This window comes from Homo sapiens, chromosome 7 (assembly GCF_000001405.40).
Source record: "Homo sapiens chromosome 7, GRCh38.p14 Primary Assembly".
In the NCBI taxonomy this organism is placed as follows: Eukaryota; Metazoa; Chordata; class Mammalia; order Primates; family Hominidae; genus Homo; species Homo sapiens.
In genome coordinates this window covers 34,986,758-35,007,282 of record NC_000007.14, presented here as the reverse complement: position 1 = coordinate 35,007,282, position 20,525 = coordinate 34,986,758, and the positions used below count along the sequence as shown (strand labels likewise).

At 38.2% G+C, this 20,525-nt stretch overlaps 1 protein-coding gene across 3 annotated transcripts in view, besides 1 other annotated feature; it reads left to right on the top strand.

Annotated features, from left to right (window-relative positions):
- DPY19L1 (dpy-19 like C-mannosyltransferase 1) overlaps positions 1 to 20,525 on the top strand; it is a 109,161-nt gene that overhangs the window by 30,759 nt on the left and 57,877 nt on the right. For all 3 annotated transcript variants that reach the window (NM_015283.2, XM_011515246.4, NM_001366673.1), the window contains exon 7: positions 17,342 to 17,399. In NM_015283.2, coding sequence (NP_056098.1) covers positions 17,342 to 17,399 — 58 coding nt within the window. The remainder of the gene's footprint in view (positions 1 to 17,341; positions 17,400 to 20,525) is intronic.
- Positions 2,927 to 3,525: a silencer, noted in NCBI's record as "fragment chr7:35043370-35043968 (GRCh37/hg19 assembly coordinates)". NCBI's record gives its function as "represses an EF-1alpha promoter that drives an FKBP-Casp9 reporter gene in an ReSE screen in phorbol 12-myristate 13-acetate-treated (for megakaryocytic differentiation) K562 erythroleukemia cells {active_cell/tissue: K562(+PMA)}" and the evidence as "EXISTENCE:reporter gene assay evidence [ECO:0000049][PMID:32094911]".

The following is a 20,525-nucleotide window of genomic DNA, read 5'->3' as shown; positions in this document are numbered from 1 at the left end:
TTAACCCGGAACCATCTCTTTAGCTCTATTCAAAGGCATCGTTAACTGAAGGTTCTTTCCAAAATTGATCCTGATGTATATTATTTTGAATAGAGTCTCTTATCACTTCTTTTCTATCAGTGTTTTTCATTGCATTTTTGTATGTTTTTTGACCTGAAGTACATTTAGAGGTTTCAGATTACTAGTTAGTTCTTAATATTTTCTTCCTTGATGGTTAGTCACCCTTGTAATTTTATGAAAGGGATAAAGCTGCAGACTTCTTAAAATATGGGTTAAAAATAAAGAGGAGGGTATCTAAAGTTGTTTTTAGGATTAAAAAAATAAATTGTATTATGTACTGAGAAATAAAAGTTGAGATTTGTCTAGCAGGTTAGAAATTTGCAGGCAGATTGACTGTGACATTTTAAATTCAGAAGTATATTTGTTTTGAAATAATATACATATAAGTTTTTAGAAGCCAGGTAAGCCAGTCCATTTCGCCAGAAATGGAAGAAGGGAAAATAGAAAACAGGCAAATGGTGAATGGAGCCAGGCTGCCAAGCTCTAACTTGAGGAGATGAAGTGAGATCTGTTTTGCAAACACAGCCTACTCATGGTATAATTCTTTTTCTGGAATTCTCAGTATTTTAGTATTTTTTTTAAAATACTCATTGTTAATTATTTTTTGAAGCTGTATTGATTTATACTTACGTTATGTATTTCATAAGATACCCTGATATTTCTTAGCCACAGACTAACAGTTTCTGAAGGCCAGTTTCTTAAGACCCAGTGTGTGGAAATCTCTGTTCTGCAAGTAAGAAGGAGCATTGGTTGTTGGACAGTTAGAACTTTCCCCCTAGTTTCTTCTGGAGGAAATTCATATATGCTTAAGTTTCTCTTATTGATAAATACAAAAAACTTTTGGTGTTGGACTCTAAGGCAGATATCAAGCAGGTGATACTAAAACTTTTATTCTTTGCACTTTAGTGTGATTTTAGTATTATTTTGGAGTTCGGGGTTAGCTAGGTTATGGTGCATTGTTGAGGAAGAATAGATTGGATAGTGTATTAAGCTGTTAAATAATGTATATGTTTAACAGTTCTCTGGAAAAATACATATGTCTATAAAGTTTATTATAAATTTTACTGCTATGTAAGGATGAGTGCAAACAATAACAGGGTTTATAAGCAGGAGATTTTTTCTTTCTCTTTTGAAAAGGGTGCCAGAAATACTCTGACTAGCTGAAATAAAAGAGGGAGTACAATACTGAGATACAGAGGCCTGGTGGAATCAGAGAATCATCGAAAAAAGTGCCTTTGTTTAAGGCTCATTCCTTTGTAGGTATTAGATTTATCCCTACTGGCTGCCAGTTCTTTGCCTGTTGCTGTCCTTCAGGCTTGCTTTCCTGGTTCCTTCCCATCCGCCTCAGAATGTGTTCATCCCTTACCTTCTCTCTCACATGACAAAATTAAGACAAAACTTTTTTTTTTTTTGAGACGAAATCTCACTCTGTTGCCCAGGCTGGAGTGCAATGGTGCGATCTCAGCTCACTGCATTTTCCACCTCCCGGGTTCAAGCAATTCTCGTCTCAGCCTCCTGAGTATCTGGGATTACAGGCGCGCACCACCACACCTGGCTAATTTTTTTTTTTTTTTTTTTTTTTTTTTAGTAGAGACAGGGTTTTACCATTTTGGTCAGGCTGGTCTCAAACTCCTGACCTCAGGTGATCCACCCACCCCGGCCTCCCAAAATGCTGGGATTACAGGTGTGAGCCACTGTGCCTGGCCAATAAAACTTTTTAATTGGACTTCCCTTGGGTCCCCTTGCTACCCCCATCTAGTCTCCCACCCCTTCCTCCTCTCCCCAGCAGCGAGGCCCTGGTCCCATTCACCTCTCCCACTGCTCTGCTTGTGCAGCTGCTTACTTAGCAGCCCTGCCTTTGATTGCTTGATTTGTTTTGAATCTTAGGATGGTGAAATGATGCCTGAAACCACTCAGGGTTTTCACAGACCAGGCCTGTGGCTGGCCAGAGAGGACTCTGGTGCTGTCTTTTTGAGCTTCATTTCTTTGTATCGTTCTCCCCTGATTACTGCTGCCTCTGTCTTCAGAGTTCCTACTACTCTCCTTAAAACTGGAGCTGAAGAATAGACAAAAATTCCTTTGCCTAAAATAAGAGAAATATGGTAGAATTATAAAAGTACTTAAGTTGATTTTTAGATCTTATGTTAGACTCTGAGTTCTTTCCCATTCAGTATCCTATCTGAGGTTGCCCCCAAAATAACCCATTAGATTTTTAGACTCTTCAGCCTTTGATTCCATTCTAGAACAAGTGCCATCTGAGGAGGTCTTCTGGAGAAAACAGTGGGCAGTGAGTGTGGCTGATGAGTCATCCTGGGGGAGACAGAACAATGCCCCTGCGGAGTGTCTCATTATTGACTGACAGCTGCCCAGTCACTGCTGCCTACTTGGACTTTTGTTTATTGTATCCCATGCAATACTTTTACTGGAACTTTACTTTTAAATTATCCCTTCAGTTTATATTGAGGATCTTATAAGAAACAGCTGTGTGAAATTTCTTACTTTATTTTATGCATTGCTATCATATGAGTGTATTATCTATGACCCAGTAAATAAATAACCAGTAAAATACTTTTTTATGTGTAAAATGTTATGACTATGGAATTGTGTAAAATCTTTATATACATGTTTAAAGATTAGTAAAATGAATACTTATGTACCCATGACACAGATTAGAAAAATAAATAAATTATCAGAGCTTTCATACCCTTAAAATTCCTTCTTAATACATTCTCTTTCCTTCCCTCAACCCTCAGAAGAAATGACATCCTAACTTTTGGACCAATGTTTTCCTTGTTTTTCTTTATGATTGTGCCACTCATGTGTTTACCCTTAAATATGGTGTGTTTAGTTTTGAAAAACTGAGTATCAGGCACAAACCTAGCTGCTTAAGGGGAGGACACTATTGCCCTTGTTAGATGAAAGTTCCCAGAAGAAGAGAATTTCTGAGTCATGGTCTTTAGGTTCCCTGAGGGAACTTTCTGAGGCTGTCAGGAGCGCAGCTGAGCTAGGGGAGGGAGCTGAGCTGCCAGGTATTGGAGTGGCTGGTTAAAGCGACAAGCCAAAAGTGAGAGTTAAGCCTTTAATCATTTACTGTAATGGTATACGTGAGATGTGACGATCAGGATGTCTCACCCCCATCAAAAGGGAACAAAAGGCTCCTGTAGTTTATGGTTCTTGAAGTGATGGGGCAAAGGAGAAGGGCTAGGAGCCAAAGAGTGCAGAGTCTGAGTCAGAGTGGGGAGCGGCCTGTTCAAGGAGCCCCTCTCCGCCAGGCCACAGCAGAGAAAAGGACCAGGAAATAAAGGTGCCTGGGCTAGGAAGGCAAATATAAGAAGAGCTTTATCACCCAGAAGTGGCTGAGTCATTGACTGCAACTCCCCTGAGAGACTACAGTACACTGGCTCTGCACCAAGCCTGGTGTGTGAAGGGCTTCTTTTCCCTGTGAGGCCTGTCAGGCAAAGCCTTGCATATGGCCAGGCCTGAGAAATCCCATATAGGTTTTCAACCAGGAGCCTGATTCCTCAGGACATCAGTAGGCAACGTCATGAGCCTGGGATAAATGTAGGACTCAGTCGGTAGGGACATCTGGCAGAAATGTAGTGGCCAGGTACTGAATATCCAGCAGAAATATCATGAGGGGAAGAGCTGTTCCCTCTTTCTAAATTCACCACTGTTTACCCTGGCTCTCTGGAGCATATCAAAGCAGAACAACTTCTGTGAGTGATATAAGTGTCTTTAACTGATGCCAGCAGTAAAGTATGTGGAGCCAAGATAAAATACAGACAAGAATCTGGTCCAGGCTCATCCAGGCTCACACAAATAAAATGTGGAGATTTTGGGCATGAGTCAGTACTTGGTTCTGGACTGGCTACCTTCCATGGTTTGTGTACATCTGTCCTTTTGGCATCCCATTGGGATTTCCTTGACTGCTCTCCCCTGTTGGATCCCCTGTGCCCTTATCCTGTTTGTTCCTCTTTCTTGGTTTATTTTCCCTCTTTGGTAGACCTCATCTTCTAGTAGGTAGGTCTTGAGAGTAGATAGCTGGGAAGTAAACATTTTATGAAACTTTGCAAAATGTGTTTATTTGCTTTCGTATTTGGTTCACTGTTTGGCCGAGTGTTGAACTCTAGACTTGAAAACATTGTTGGTTGCTGGCCGGGCACGGTGGCTCACGCCTGTAATCCCAGCATTTTGGGAGGCCGAGGTGGGTGGATCACAAGGTCAGGAGATCGAGACCATCTTGACTAACACAGTGAAACCCCGTCTCTACTAAAAAATACAAAAAAATTAGCCAAGCGTGGTGGCGGGCACCTGTAGTCCCAGCTACTCAGTAAGCTGAGGCAGGAGAATGGCGTGAACCCAGGAGGCAGAGCTTGCAGTGAGCCAAGATTGTGCCACTGCACTCCAGCCTGGGCGACAGAGCAAGACTCCGTCTCAAAAGAAGAAAAGAGAACATTGTTGGTTGCTTCAGATGATGCTATTCAGATGTTCCTAAGTTATTCAAATTTCTAAACCTTTGTATGTGACCTTTGCTTCCCCTTCCTCTCTCTGGAAGATTGTAGAATATCTTCTTTGTCTCTATGGTTCTGAAATTTCAGAGCAATATGTCTCAGTGTAGATCTGCTTTCATGTGTTCTCTTGGACACTTGATGGGTTGTTTCAATCATGCCTTTGATTTCTGAGAATTTTCTTGAATTATTTCTTTACTTATTTTATTCCCTTTGTTTTCTGATTCAGAACTTTTGTTTGGATGTTTGTAGTTTCCAGTCCTCTAATTTTCTTTTTTTTCCCCCCATTTTTAAGCTCTTTGGCTTTGTTCTACATTCTAGAACATTTTATCAGCCTTATTTTTTCCAACCTTCTACTGAGTTTTTATTTTTCATTATCATGCTTTTAATTTCCAAGAAGTTTTGTTTGTTCTATAAACATTCCTTTTTAAAAAATAGTATTTTATTTTTGTTTCTTGGATTCAATAAATATTCTCTCTAAGGGTATTAATGATGTTTTTACCCTCCCAGAATAACCTTGGCATCTTCTAGCTTGTGTGTGTGGGTTTTTTTTGTTGTTGTTTTTTGTTTTGTTTTTTTTTTTTTTTTTGAGCTGGAGTCTCGCTCTGTTACCAGGCTGGAGTGCAATGGCACGATCTTGACTCACTGCAACCTTGGCCTCCTGGGTTCAAGCAATTTTTTCTTGCTTCAGCTTTCCAAGTAGCTGGGACTACAGGCACGCACCACCACACCCAGCCAATTTTTGTATTTTTTAGTTGAGAGGGGTTTTTACCATGTTGGCCAGGATTGTCTCAATCTCTTGACCTGGTGATCCGCCCGCCTCAGCCTCCCAAAGTGCTGGGATTACAGGTATGAGCCACTGTGCCCGGCCTAGCTTGTTTTTTTAAACATCCTTTGGTCTCTACCTTCCATGTTAGGTGCCTTCCTTAGATGTCTGGCAAACTTAGGCTGTCATGATTAAGGCTAGAAGACCAAAAAAAGCTGTATAGAAGCTCTAAATTGTGGGTGGAATCTGTTAAGGTTGAGTTTTTATATAGTTTGAATAAATGATGTGAGCAGAACTTAGAGTGACTGCCAGTTCTTTGGTTTGCCTTTAAATGTAAAAGAAAATATAAAGTAACAGAGGTCTTTTAGGGTTGTAAAAGGGAGGTGCAGTGTTTTATTAGGTTAACTGAAATGGAAGATTATAGATGATTTTTAAAGAAGTGATTGAGTAGAGGGAAGAACACCTAAATGAGTTTAAGAGACTCTGTCTTCTATGTGAGAATGGAATAAGGTAGTGTTTGCAAGTGACCCAGAAGAATGCTTGCCTTCCAAAATATTTTTTGATTGAATAAATTAATTAATAATAAAATATTGAAAGAAAAACTTAGCTTATGGTTGCCATATATGAAAGGCACAATAAAAACATATTATCTATCACATAAGCTTTACTAGCGTTTACCAATTTAGGAAGTATTTTTCCAATGGACTCATTCTGAAGCTTTCCTTCTGCAGATTCCAATCTTCACTGAAGACTGTTTTTGATTGCAGAAGTTCAGTTCATGTATGACGCTTATGTGCGAGGCTCTAAACTCTTTACTATCAGAAACTCATTTAATCCATATGGTTTTCCCATGAGATAGGTAAACCGCTTTATAGATGAGGAAACTGAGACACAAGGATATTAAATAACTTTTCCGAGGTCACAGAGCTAGTCACTGGCAGAGTAGGGATTTGAGTACCAACAGTGGCTCCAAAACGTGTGCTCTACTGTCTCTGAGAATACATTTTAAGTGTTCTTTCCACAGCAATTAAATTGTCTGCAGCTTTAGTTAATTTTTGTTTAAAGATCCTGCATAATGAAGAAAAAAGTGTTTATTTCATTGCCAAAGTAAGTGGTATTTATATTTCATAAAAAGTTTTACTTAAAATGTTTTAAAGATACATGACACTAAGAAGGATCTAGACTTTCCGTTCTCTTTTCTGTTCTGATGTTCCAGAATATTACTGTTCTGTAATAATTCATTTCCGAAGGATTCTGAGGTCCCAGGATTTTGCTGTTCTTCAGCTGATATTTCTGTATGCATTGTTTTGGTTTGATAGGTGGAAGTTTACTCTTTCTAATATTGCCATTTTTCAGGATCCTATTGTGCTCCATTTTTAGCTGTCATACATGTAATTTTATAATTATTCTAATAGTTTCCTCAGTTAATTTTACTTAGACTCATTTATTGAACTAACGACACATTGGAGGGAAAGGTAACATACTGCATGTTGGGGGGCGGATTCTTAAATGTCTGCTTTTGTGATTACACATTTCCCCGACTCCTCATTCTCCAGGTAAGATGACTGTAACTCCATACCTTCGCATGATCTGGTAGTTTGTAGTTGGTAATTTCAGTATGGAAAGTTTTTCTTTTTTTTGGAAGGTTTTTCTTTAATGGTTTTCAAGCCAAGGTTAAAATATACTGTATTATTTCTTTTGGTGGTGAATACGAACAGCTATTTTAATGTTATCTGGAACATTTTTATGATTTGTTCCTTAGAAGTATTTTTTGGCAAAGATCAAGAGGTCTCCATGTAAGTTAATTGAACAACTTTCTTTCTATTAATGTGCTCTACAATGGGTATGTTAGTTATTAGTATGTTTTTAAACTGAATTTTCACTGCTTTGTATATACATGCATATCTTTTGGCATTATTCAACTTTTTATAATCAAGTACGTCAGTGGTCCCTTGCCCCATCTGTCTTCCCCACCCTGTGTATCCCTTTGTCTAGGGAAAGCCACTTTCAGATCTTTGGAAACTCAGCAATTCTGATACGTAAAACCATAGTCCGCAGTTACATTATTATGACTGTAAAAATATTGCTTACTGCTGAATTAAGTGGTATAAATAATTGTTTATTTGGTAACTTAAAATTTTTCCTGTGGTTAATTATTGCTAATATTTTGTTTTCCTTGGTGTTCTGTATGCTGATTAATTCCTCTCCAGATCTACAGCTGAACTGTAAACACTTATTTTGTACTTTGTCAAATGTATAAAATCCATTATTTCAATTCTCCCACTCCTATCCCCTGGGGCCTCCCTCCTGGAGCCTCTGTCTCTGGTTCCATCCTAGACCCGTCCTTCCCTGGGCTTCCGTTTAGCGATTCCCTTGGAGTTTTGTTTACCACCATCCTGAGAATTCCCCTTTCCTCTCTTGCATTGGATTCATTGTGTTTTGGACCCCAGGTTGGTCTCTTTCTGGTCTGTTTCATCCTTTTGAGGATCATATCCTCAGGTAATTTCCAAGAGAGTCACAGAGATAATTTTAAAATACATTTGTCTGACATGTTTGAACATTTCCTTTTTTATTTTTGTACTCAATTACTGGTTTGCCTGGTTGTTGATTTTTATTTTTCCTCAGACTTTTAAAGGCTTTGTTCGACTGTATTCTAAGATGGAGTGTAGCTTTTCAAAAGTCTGGTGCTATTCTACCATTAGTTCCTTTTGTGTGTGGCTAGTTGTTTTCCTCTGGCACCTTTTGGGTTCATCTTTCTCTCTTTAGTCCCGTAAAAGGTCATGATGTGGTAGATATTATTTCATCCTTCTCATCGCATACTTTGTGCGCTCTATCTGGGCACTTACTTTCTTCACTTTGGAGGAAAACTTTTTTTAGTATTATTTCCCTAATGACATTCTCTTCTCCATTTCTTTTTTCCTGTTTTCTTGAAAGTTAGTGATTGGATATTGGACTTCTTGAAGTCGAATTTTCTCAGGGTTTTTCTCCCTTATTTTATTTTTACATTTTATTGTCATTTCTGTTAGATTTCCAACTTAAAGAATCTTGAGTTTGAAAATTTCTCTGCCTGTTGCATTGTCTTTGTTACCTCTAGGTCCCCCTTCAATTTGTATTAGTTTCTATTTTTCACATTGGAAGCTTCCATCCCCACAGCCTGCTGATTCCTAGCTTGACATTTGTATCTAAGAATGAGGAGCTGGTTGGAAGATTGCAAAGTGGATGGGTCTTAACTGACTAGTGGCTTTTATTACAGCATGATGAGGGTGTAAACTGCTTTGTTTGGGGAGACCCAGGCTCCTTTCATCTTGTTGCTTTTTCGTTTACCAGCCTCAGCTGCTTCTGCCTGTGGCCAGAGTCCGGGAGACATATCTGATTCTTCACGTCAGTGCAGAAGTGACACCCAGTGCCATTGACTACTCCTCCCCCTCACCCCTGGTCATATGCAGACACTTATGCATGAGGGCTGAGCACACACTTTCTGAGGCAGGGTCAGTGTTCCCTTTTCCTTACTTCATCCCCTCTCTGGCGATGAGGTCGCTTTTTGAAGAGAACTTAAATGATCTTTTTCACGAACTCTACATTTAATGGGGGCTGCCCAGAGTTCCTGTGGCCCCTCTGATCTGTTCCTGATCTCCTCCCCCTCTTTTGAATTTTTACCGTTGTCTCTACCCAGTTCTTCATTGTTTCTGAGCTTTTGTGAGAAGAGCCTGGACGTCCTTTTGTAGACATAAGTAGTCAGCAGAAAATGCCTTTTCTTCCACATAAGGAACCAGCTAGTCAGAGGACAATACCTTCATCTTCCAATTTTCTGTTCTCTGTTATCTTCTTTGGTCATTGGAGGTTCAGAGTGGTTTCTCTGATATCTGAGAGATTTTTTTAAGCTGCTTTATTTCTAGATATGTTCCAGAAGCCCTGAGGGCCTGGATGATTAGTCTGTATGTCAAAGCCCTTTTTAATTTTGCTTGATGTCCCCCTTTACATCTGGAGTGAATAGTCATCATTAACACAGTTAATCTTCCTACCTTCTCTTCCCGTGATCCAACCAAGTTGCCTATGAAGTATTCTTAGGCTCTGTAGCAGAATGGAATAGTGTTTTGTATTAGTTTTCCACTCTTCCACTGCCCTCTACCTGTTTTAAGGAAAAGTTGAATTTCTTAAATTTTATGCCAGTTTTGCTTCCATTATTTTGCATGATATTTTCTTATTCTTTATTTTAAAAAAATCAAGCATTTGCTGCTTATACAGGCTGGATTTTTGGCCAAAAAACACATCTTAAATAGGCTGTGAATCTACCATCTCAAAGTTTTCCAGCTACTTTTTTTTTTTTTTTTTTTTTTTTGAGACGGAGTCTCGCTCAGTTGCCCAGGCTGGAGTGCAGTGGCGCGATCTCAGCTCACTGCAAGCTCCGCCTCCTGGGTTCACGCCATTCTCCTGCCTCAGCCTCCCGAGTAGCTGGGACTACAGGCGCCTGGCACCACGCCCAGCTAATTTTTTTTTTTTTTTTTTTTTTTTGTATTTTTAGTAGAGACGGGGTTTCACCATGTTAGCCAGGATGATCTTGATCTCCTGACGTTGTGATCCGCCCGCCTCGGCCTCCCAAAGTGCTGGGATTACAGGCGTGAGCCACTGTGCCTGGCCTTTTTTTTTTTTTGAATTAATATTAACTTGGCCTGCTAACATATCTTTAATCAAACCCATTTGGTCTAGCAGTTGTGTATGAATATTTAAAAGATAAGTATTTTTATTTAGTATGCATAAATTGATGAAAGTTGTTGGTTGGCAATATTGGCATCTTTTCTCCAAAACCTTCCCCTTTTTATGTCTTCACTCTCTCAGCAAATGACACTTCTGTCTACTCTAATGCCCAGCCTGACCTCTAAGAGATAGCCATGACTTTCCTCTTTCCTCTGTAATCCAAGGAGTCACAAAATCCTATTATTACTGTCCTGCTTCAGAGTATCTCTGGCGTCCTTCCACTTCTCTGCCAGCCCATCCTCCTGGGATGACTCTGCATCAGCTCATGTGGCTCTGCTCCCCACCAGTCTTGCTCCCAGGCTGCTCTGCACACTGTTGTCAGTGTGGTCTTATCATTTGAGGAACTGTGATGAGGGCAGTGCAGCTGGAGAGCAGAGTGTGGGTAGGAGGAAGAATAGTGAAAGGAGTTGAGGTGTATGCAGGGGCCAGATCCTGCGAGGCATTTCGGATATGTTTTGGTGTTTGGATTTGACCTTGTGGGCAGGGATGCCATTGAAGGGCTGTGTGCATGGAGTGGGATTGGGTCCATTCATTGTTAAAGACAACACACTCTGCAGTGTAGAGGGAGCAGGCTTTGGGTAGGGGGTGTCGGAGGCTGTAGCAGCCCAGGGGAAGACGATGGGAGCCTGAGCTGGTATGATGGTGGTGGGATGGAGGGAAGTGGACAGACTCTGGAATACTAGGAGGGAGGCTCCAGGGGAAGCATTTGTTCAGAGGAGAGTGATATTTCTAGGCAGGAGAAGGAGGAAGCATCTGGGAAGAGGCTGCAGTTGTTGGATAGGTAGTTGTTCACCATGGAATGAAGGGCCTGGAGCACACAGTGGAGAGGTCTGCGTAGGAGTTGAGGAGTGTGGTGTTTGGGTCAGAGCAGAGGCTCACCTGAACACATGGTCCTGCCTGGTTTTTGGGCCAGTACCAAGAGCAACAATGACATGAGGTGTGGTGTGTTTGGCTGCAAGCTTTCAAAAAAGGAATGCCAGCAGTCTTTTGATTGAATAGTTCTATTTTCAGATACCCTTTCATTTTCTTTCATGGACAAGACTTGGTGCTAGGCACCATGGGTGAATTGAGGAGTTCACAATCTAATAAGTAAATAACTTCAGTTAGAATCGGCAGATAGAGAGTTAAATTAACGGCGTTAATCACTTGCTTGAAACAGACTGGAAAGGACCAAGCTGAGAACTTTTCTCACCCTTCCCGATTCTTATCCTCATTCCTCATCTTTCTTTCCTATCTCTTTACTTAGTAACCAGTGAATCCCCCCCACCGCCCCCCCCACCGCCGCCATGAGTATAGGGGAAGGTTCTCAGCTCTGAACCAGGCCTGCTTGGCATTTCTTCATTGGGCTAGGAAGGTGCCCAAGCCTTCAGTCTCCAATTTAAGATTGGAAATTATCTTAATTTGATTATTTCCAAATTTTTCTCCATTTTCTCTTTCTTAAGCATTTATACAATAAGAAAATCGTAAGAGTTATTTAATATAGTTTTGAATTAACTCTGATGGCTTTTTTCTCTTCAAAAGTTTAACTTTGGATGGTTCATCATTTTTGTAAATAGAGATAAAAATCTCAATGATTAATGAAACCTATCAAAACTTGATAATTGATTTAAATCTATACAACTGTAGTAGGTAGGAAAGAAGATAATTATAGAATTCTTAAATTTTAGAACTGGAAAGTATTTTGAGGTCCTTTTTAACTTTATTTTTTATTATCCCTTCATTTTATATCTAAGAAAAATCAAGGTTTAGGTGAATGAGATGTATGAGTAAATGTGGTAAATGTTTAGCAAGCTTAGAATGTTTTAAAATTTGCACAGTAGGAGGTTTCATATTTTCTGACAGTCATATTGCAGAAGAGACTTTTTTTTTTTAACCACTAGGGAATGCTAAAATATCAACTGATCAACTATAGTGGGGAGAAAAATTTAAAAATTTTAGGTATTCTGATTGCTGCATCTTTTCTGTTTAGCAAAATAAAAGGACTTAGTAGCCTCTATGGATTGGGGCGAGAGGGTGGACATGGAGAACACCATTTTAGATTTGTTTCAAGTCACATCATTTCACAGTGTTTCTAACTCAGAACATTCCTTGGAGATAAATAAATTTTATTCTCCTCCTCTAGCTTTGCAGTTCCCAAAAGTGTATAGAAAAAAATCGGCCTCTTTTGTTAGTTAAGTAAAGCTGGGCCCATATTCATGGAAGATGTTGGACCATAACCTGTATTTTAGTAATTTGGTGAAAAAGGAATGTTGTCACCGTGGCTCTGCCCTCAGGAAATTGTCCAACCTCAGAGCCTCCCAGGTTGTATGGCAACTGAGTGAGGGTATGCGACTTCTTAGGCAAACCTCATCCTGAGATTTGGTCGGGGAATTGGATTTTTTTTTTTTTTTGAGACGGAATCTTGCTCTGTCGCACAGGCTGGAGTACAGTGGCACAGTCTTGGCTCACTGCAAGCTCCACCTCCTGGGTTCACGCCATTCTCCTGCCTCAGCCTTCCGAGTAGCTGGGACCACAGGTGCCCACCACCACGCCCGGCTAATTTTTTGTATTTTTAGTAGAGACGGTTTTCACCATGTTAGCCAGGATGGTCTCGATCTCCTGACCTCGTGATCCGCCCGCCTCAGCCTCCCAAAGTGCTGGGATTACAGGCATGAGCCACCGCGCCCCGCCAGGGAATTGGATTTGTGAGTCTTTTGTTCTTTCTCTACCTTTACTCTGCCATTTAGAAAATTAAAGTTATTAAATTTCCATTTTGATTCCTCGTTGTTCAGGGAATTTTTAAAAGGAAATTTTACATTAAATTCCCCAAGTGTCATTTTTTTTAAAAACTCATCTTTCGTGTTTTAGGTTGTTTTAGATTCTAATCAGAGAATGAGGTGCCTTTGCAACTAGATGTTCCAGTGACATAAGAAAATGATGTGTAATCTCTGTATAGTCACGACATTGAGCTTGTTGATTATCTCCTTCAGATCCCTAATATGTTTCCTTTAGCTTACTTGACCTGTTAGATTATGAAAGAATTAAAATTTTCTACTGTGATCAGATTTTATCATGTTCTCTTTGTATTTCTAGAAGTTTTAACTTTTAGTACTTGACTCTTACATTGGTTGTCCAAAAAAATTTTTATTTTTTGAGACAGTTTCACTGTCACCCAGGCTGGAGTGCCACGGCGCAATCTCAGCTTATTGTAGCCTCCACCTTCCCGGTTCAAACGAATCTTGACTCTCAGCCTCCTGAGTAGCTGGGACTACAGTTGTGCGCCACCACACGGCTAATTTTTTTTTTTTTTGTATTTTCGTAGAGATAGTGTTTCATCATGTTGGGCAGGCTGGTGTCGAACTCCTGGCCTCAAGTGATCCACTTGCCTTGGCCTTCCAAAGTGCTGAGATTACAGGCATGAGCCACTGTGCCTGACCCCAAACATTTTTATTTAAAGGAATACAGTTAGAATTGAGTAAATGGAAAGAGATATACTGTGCAACTGAATGACCATCATATAAATGACAGCCCTTCCCAACCCAAATTATATATAAATTTAATGTCATTCTGATCAGAAGTCTGACAATTTTTTCTTGGGTGGGGGGGCAGGGTTGGGAGACTGGTTCAGATGTTATATGTAAGAATAAGTTGGTAAGAATTACCTAAAAAATCTTAAAAATAAGAGTAGTTGGGGGTGGGTAGCTTTTTAAAATCATGTGTTAAAATTACCATAATGCTACAGTAATAAAAATAGTGTGATAACAAAAAAAAAAATACAGAATTAAGTCAGTTGAATGAAATAGAACAGAGTCTAGCATTGTAAGAAATTAAGATAAAGGCTGAATTTCATTTCGCTGGTAAAAGGGATGTTTACTTGATAAATGATTTTAATATAATTGGCTATTTCAAAGAGAACAAAATTAGGGAGAAAGAGCTAAGTGGAAAATGCAATTTATAATATTAGAAGAAATTTTAGGAGACTATAGTTTTAAGGTGTGGAAGACCTTCAGAGACAAGACAGGAAGTGCAGAAGAAATAAAGGAAAATATCAACATATTTAAATACATAAAAGTTTAAAAATTCTTTCTGATAGAATACGCCGCAAATTAGATCAGAATACTTTGTCACACATATGTGTTAACTTAAAATAATCAAAAGGATCAGAATCTAAATAGCGTTTATTCAAGCACAAAGTGTGAGGGTAGACCACTCAGGAACACGAACTCCAAAGGAATGAAGTCAGACTTTGGAAGTAAGGAAGTTTAGGTTTCATTTATATAGGCAGAGGCAGAGACATTTTTAGCAGGAATACAACATTATTCATACAGGTTGGCACATAGTCACAGCAGTTTGATTGGTTATAGGTGTTATTTCTTTTGGGGAAGGGTACAGTTAAAAACATTTTTTTTTTTTACAGAGAGTATAATAATGATGGGTTTTCTATAGTCTGATCTAAGCAAAGTAAAACAACACAGGGAAAATTAATCTTTAACAGGGGTTATTAACTACGAAGGCAGGGTCACACCTGTAGTTTCAGCTACTCTGGAGGCTGAGGCAGGAGGATTGCTGGATCCCATGAGTTCGAGGCTGCAGTGAGCCATGATTGTGCCACTCTACCCTAGCTTGGGTGACAGAGTGAGACCCAGTCTCTGGAAAAAAAAAAAAAAAAAAGGCAGGAAGGTTTTGTGCCTGACATTGTTTAATTCTCTAGTCATTGTACTGAACAGGAAAAATAAGAAAGCAAGTTAATCTATAATCTGAGAACGGAAGTTGTAACCATATGTGACTCAGATCACAGTCACATCTCTCTCAAGGCTTAAAGGGGTTGTTTTTTTGGACAGCTTTTAAATGTTATTTTCACATTTGACAGTCAGAGGTTTGATAACCTTAATTTTTAAGTAGGGAACAGTCAAATAGAAAAATAGACAAGAATATGAATAAGCAGTTCACGGAAGAGAAAATGCATGTTGTCAAAACAAAACACTAAAATGCTACTGCATACAAGTAGGCAGTGAGAAAAGGGTTTTCACCTATCTAAGGAGAAAATTTGAAAAGCACATGAGTCTGCACGAGGGGTGGAGAAACGACCTCCTGCATACTCTGTGACAAGAGTGTGGACTGCTGCAGTGCTTCCGGGCACAGCTCACATCCTTTGACTCACGTGTCTCACAGTTAGGTCCCTCCTGCCGAAACAAACGTGCCAGCATTTACATGTACGAGGATGTTTAACCATTTTTTATTATAGCAAGAAACTGAAAAATATTTATATGCCCGGTAATATGGAATGGACTAAATAAATATATTTGTACTATACAGTATTTGCCATCTATAAAAATAATCCCTTTAAGTTTACATACATTGATTAGGAATAATCTTTATGCTAGAATAATTAGAAAAGGAACAAATTTCAGAGAGATGTTATATTGATCACATAGAAAATATATGTTTGTGTGGTTAGAGAGAGAGATTTGGAAGAACAGACACATACTAAAATGTTCTTAGGTGAATAGGATTGGGAGAGGGTAGTGAGAAAATCACTTTTTTTCCCCTATAAACTTCTATATTTTTTGTCTTGTTAGAGTAAGTTCAAAACACTAAAATGTATTTATTTGTTTTTTAAACCGTTAACTCTATCTTAACCTTTCTAATGTCTAATCACTTGTGATGAAGCCTGGGCCTAGCCTGTGTGCTTCTCTTCTGAAGAAGATGTGGTACACCTTTCAGGAGAGAACCCTGGCGTCCACTTCCTGGCCTGTACTGCTTTCTAAGCTCCTCTGTCTGATGCTCTCATTTCAGTGATCCATCACTTCAGACACTTTCTGGCTTCAGTTTCTTTGCCCCTTTATATTTCATTTGTGCTGTCTAGGCTGATAATCGGTAGGCAAAAATCACACAGTCTTATGATTACTGACCCTGTAGATTTGTGTTCTGCAGCCTCAGTTGTTCCCCTAAGATATCCCAGCAGCACTGTGTTTTCCCCAGTTACCACTCTCCTGAAATGTGAGTGGTATTTCAGACATTTCTGTCTTTCCTCAAACGTTTAATGCTGCCATCGTTTCACTCTGGCAGCGAGTGGCTGTGTCTTCTGCTCTGTGGGGAACATGGAAGCTCCACAAAGTACTTACCACTAATATGCAGTCTTCCTCCTCTTTTGCCAAGGCAAACAGGCCACCTGTGCTGGGGTCCCAGCCCTACCTGTCTCCTTCTGGATACTCCCTACATGGATTATCCCTGCTGGCCATTGCATCTCTTCCTCTTTTCCTCATTGATACATCACAAGAGTAAATACAAGGCCTTTGATGCCTATACCATCTGGTTCTTTGTTTCCTCTCTGACCTCTCTGTGGTATACTTATAGATAGAGAAATAAAAGGAAGGTAGATAGAGAAAAAGAAGGAAGGATATTTGGGTAGAATAATGAGAAAGCAGCATGAGCTAAAATGAGTGAGAAGACCTCAAGAGTAAAAATGCAGAACATGATGAAATAAACCTAAAGATAGCCTTATGTCCCCTACCCAGACTTGGGGGACAATAGGGAACATATTTCACTCTCATCTGAGCAAATGAAGGTTAATTGTTAGAACTACCAGATTATACCATTGTAATTTCTTACCTAGAGTTATAAGCCTGATTGTCATACTTTGATATTTGTGTTCTATTCCAGTTTTTGAAATCAAATGAAACATAAAACTTTATAAATTGGTATTCCTCAAGTGTATTCTGCAGAAAAGTAGCTTGGGGATGGGATTTGGGAAATATAAAATTAAATCTTTAATGTGTGGAAGTGCCTTGTGAATTTCTAGGAGCAGGTAGGCAGTGTGGGGTTTTCCATCCTTATGACCATGGATCCCTTTCCTTGCACGTCTTTCTCTCCCTTTTTCCTAATGTATGTCATCTGTCCCAAGGAAAGCAGTTTGAGAAATGTTGAAGGACATAAATAAATATGAGGTACTAAAGAAAATAAAAAGAAATATCAGGTTGCGTGATGTACAGTAATATGACTACTAAGAATTTTCTATTCCCTTTCAGTTTGCGTGCTTTTCTGAGTCTATACATTTTGAAGGTAGCAAATGATTTTTAAAAAATGAGAAAAGATTATTTTGACTAATGATCTTTTGGAGGAAATAAACTATTTTGTAAATAAGCATAGGAGAGTTCTAGTATGACTATAAAATCTTATATAATACCAGTGGTTATGATATTATGTGTTTTAAGGTTTTTCTTAGGATTGACCTGAATTTTTGTTATTTGAGTTATGTTTTCTTCTTTTCCAGTGGCAGCCGATTAGGAGGCCTGGTTACAGTGTTGTGCTTCTTTTTCAATCATGGAGAGGTAGGTAATCAAAAACTATTCTCAGAATTACTTCTGGAAATGCAGTTTTCTTCTTTAAATTTAATCTATAATGGCATTCTTTAAATGTTTGATCTTATTATTTTGATTCAAAATTTAAACACTAGCATTCATTTGAGTTAACTTTTCATGACCATTGTACTTCTTATGTGATATAAGGCTTAGTAATTTGATGAAATAATGGGTCTGTATCAACTGTATCAATTCTGTTTTTTTTTTTTGTTGTTGTTGTTGTTTTTGTTTTTGAGGCAGTGTCTTTTTTTGTTGCCCAGTCTGGAGTGCAGTGGTAGATCATAGCTCACTGCAGCCTCAAATTCTTGGGGTCAGGTGATCCTCCTGCCTCAGAATCAGCTTCCAGAGTAGCTGGGACTACAGACGCTTATCACCACACTCAGCTAGTTTTTTAAATTTTTTATAGAGATGGAATCTTTCTATGTTGCCCAGGCTGGTCTTGAATTCCTGGCCTCAAGCAATCCTCCTGCCTTGGTCTCCCAAAGTGTTGGGATTACAGGTATAAGCCACCACGCCTGCCCTCAAGTATCAATTGTTTGTATAATTTTAAAACTGTGAAAGCTAACAATTTAGTTATAATGGAAGTAGGTGGTAATTGATACAACTTTCTTTTGTAGGGATAACTTTTTGTTGCAGAAACTACACAGCATATTCTTATTTTAATGTATTAACATTTGATACTCTTTTAAGTACTTTTTGCAAAATATTTTAGTGTTCAAGGGCTTTCTAAAGACAACAGTATTGTAAAAAATATAGACTCTGGATCCAGGTTGCCTGGGTTCAAATCCTGACTGCTATGTGGCTCTGTGACCTGAGCAAGTCATTTAATCTCTCTTTGCCTTAGTTTCCTCTTTGTAAATGGGCATAATGATGTTACCCACCTCATAGGATTATTGCAGAGACTAAGTGAATTCATATGTGTAAATGCCTAGAGCAGTGTTTGGCACATGGTAGCTGCTATGTAATTGTTAGCTTGTGTTATTACTGTTATTGACTAATTAACTTAGTTTAAATTCTACTATAAATTCAGAATGTCAACGTTTCTAGATTAATCATAGTTGTAAATGAATTTCTAATACATCTGTCTAGATTTCTTTCATGATAAATTTTGTATGAGGGAGAAAAGAATAAAGGTCAGCTTGCTTTGTGTGAAGTGACTTTGTCCTTCCATGCATTTTATACACTCAGTGCCTGCTGTATTTGAATATGCACATGTTTTAACATGTGCTATAACAGTAATCATCTCCAAACATAATGCAGAGTCAATGCTGGACTTCTTTTTAGTCAGCGAGTTACTAATGGATACTTAGCTAATATGTTCTTAGTATTTAGAATCACAGAAATGTAAAGCTAGAGTAATTGACAAGTGGTTGCAACATGACATCAGTTAATTGGTATAGTATGTGTTTAAAAAAAAAAAAAAGATTTGGTTTTTCCTGACTGTGGATCCTGCACATTGTGATAGTGTGGACCATGAAGCACTTTGAGCCACAGATTCTGAGGGAATGACCTAAGAAACAGGGAAATAACCATTTAATAATGGAAGAAAGAAGCATTGTGTGTTAACAATAAGGTGTCAGAGGAAAGAGGTTATTCAAAATTTTGGAACCTAGACCACCAGGAAGACCACTGTTTGTAAAGTGCAAAGGTCTATCGTGCTACCCTCAGTGTATACTATGGTTTTTAATTCTTCGTCTTACGTTTTCTTATAATTTTGATACTCATGTGGCATGAACATCATTCCTTACAAAGTTTTCTTAAATTTTAACAATGGAATTCAGACTATTCAACTGGCTTTTCAGGCTGATGAATTGTCTTTTTGATACTTTTCAGCTACTTGGTGTAGCTGAAAAGCATGCTTAGACATCACTTTTTTAGGAAAAGGTAAACCGAATATCATTAGAATTAGAATTTCAGTTTTACTGAAATAGTCAAGTAGATAATTTTACTTACATGTAAAATTACTTGTGAAAATACAGGTAATGGCATTAAAATTGAGAGCATAAACTGCAGTTTTGGGTAAAATATTGGTGAGAACTCAACATATTTTCGTTTTAGGTAATGAGATCTTCAGACCCTATTTTTTTCTGATTTTTAAGTATATACTTTTTCTATGGACAGAAATATTTACTCTGGTAGTACCTATTTATGTATTTAGTGAGCTTTTGTAGAGCATTGCTCACTGGAAATGCCACTGGGTTACTAACCGGTACCTTACTTTCTTAGGAGAGTTACTTTGATCACATGAGTGATTGGTTTATGTTGCAAAGAATAGTTCTCAATTGTTACTTGCATTTAAGTTCTATTTCCATTATGTAGTTTGCTGTGCACTACATGTGAAGATAGCATAGGTTTACTTTTTTAAAATTTTCTTTTTCCTCATATGGTTTTATAAGGGAAAATTTTTGCCTGAACAAATTATTTATAAAATGTGTAGCATGAATAGCTTAATAGATTATTAAATAAATTATTTAAAACACATTTAAAACCTTCAAATCCGAAACTTGTGAAATGCAGTAAAAGGGTTTATAATAATGATCAGTAATGTTGAGGTTATACATTCTATAATAAAAACTATGCAGATGTTTTCATTGATCAAGCTTCTTTAGTAAATTTCATTCAGTCACAATTGAGAATTTTTGCAAAGATGAAAGCTAGCAATTTTGTTTTGCCTTTAAAATGTTTTCTTTTACAAGATGCACACAACATGTGTTGATGGTGCAGGGTTTTGGCATGCTGATAGAAAAGCACATGAATGTGTATTAAGAAAAACCTGAATACTGTATTTTTCTCCAATTTTTTGATTGTTAGAAATTCTTTTTTTGTGAAATAGGATTGTTTAGCTTTTTCATGATAAGATTAAAAAAATTATTATGAAGCATGATTGATGCTGTTTTATGTAAAAGATGTTCACATATATAAAGATGTACACATATGAAGAGGAAATTCCTTACTTTGTGTTTTTTAAAAATAAATACATTTTAAAAAAGTAATTCAAAGTAAATGAAAGGATTGCCCCCGAAAGTACTTCAAAGTAAATTAACGGATTGCCTCCAAAAGTAATTTAAAGTGAATGAAAGGATTGCCTTGAGGTTC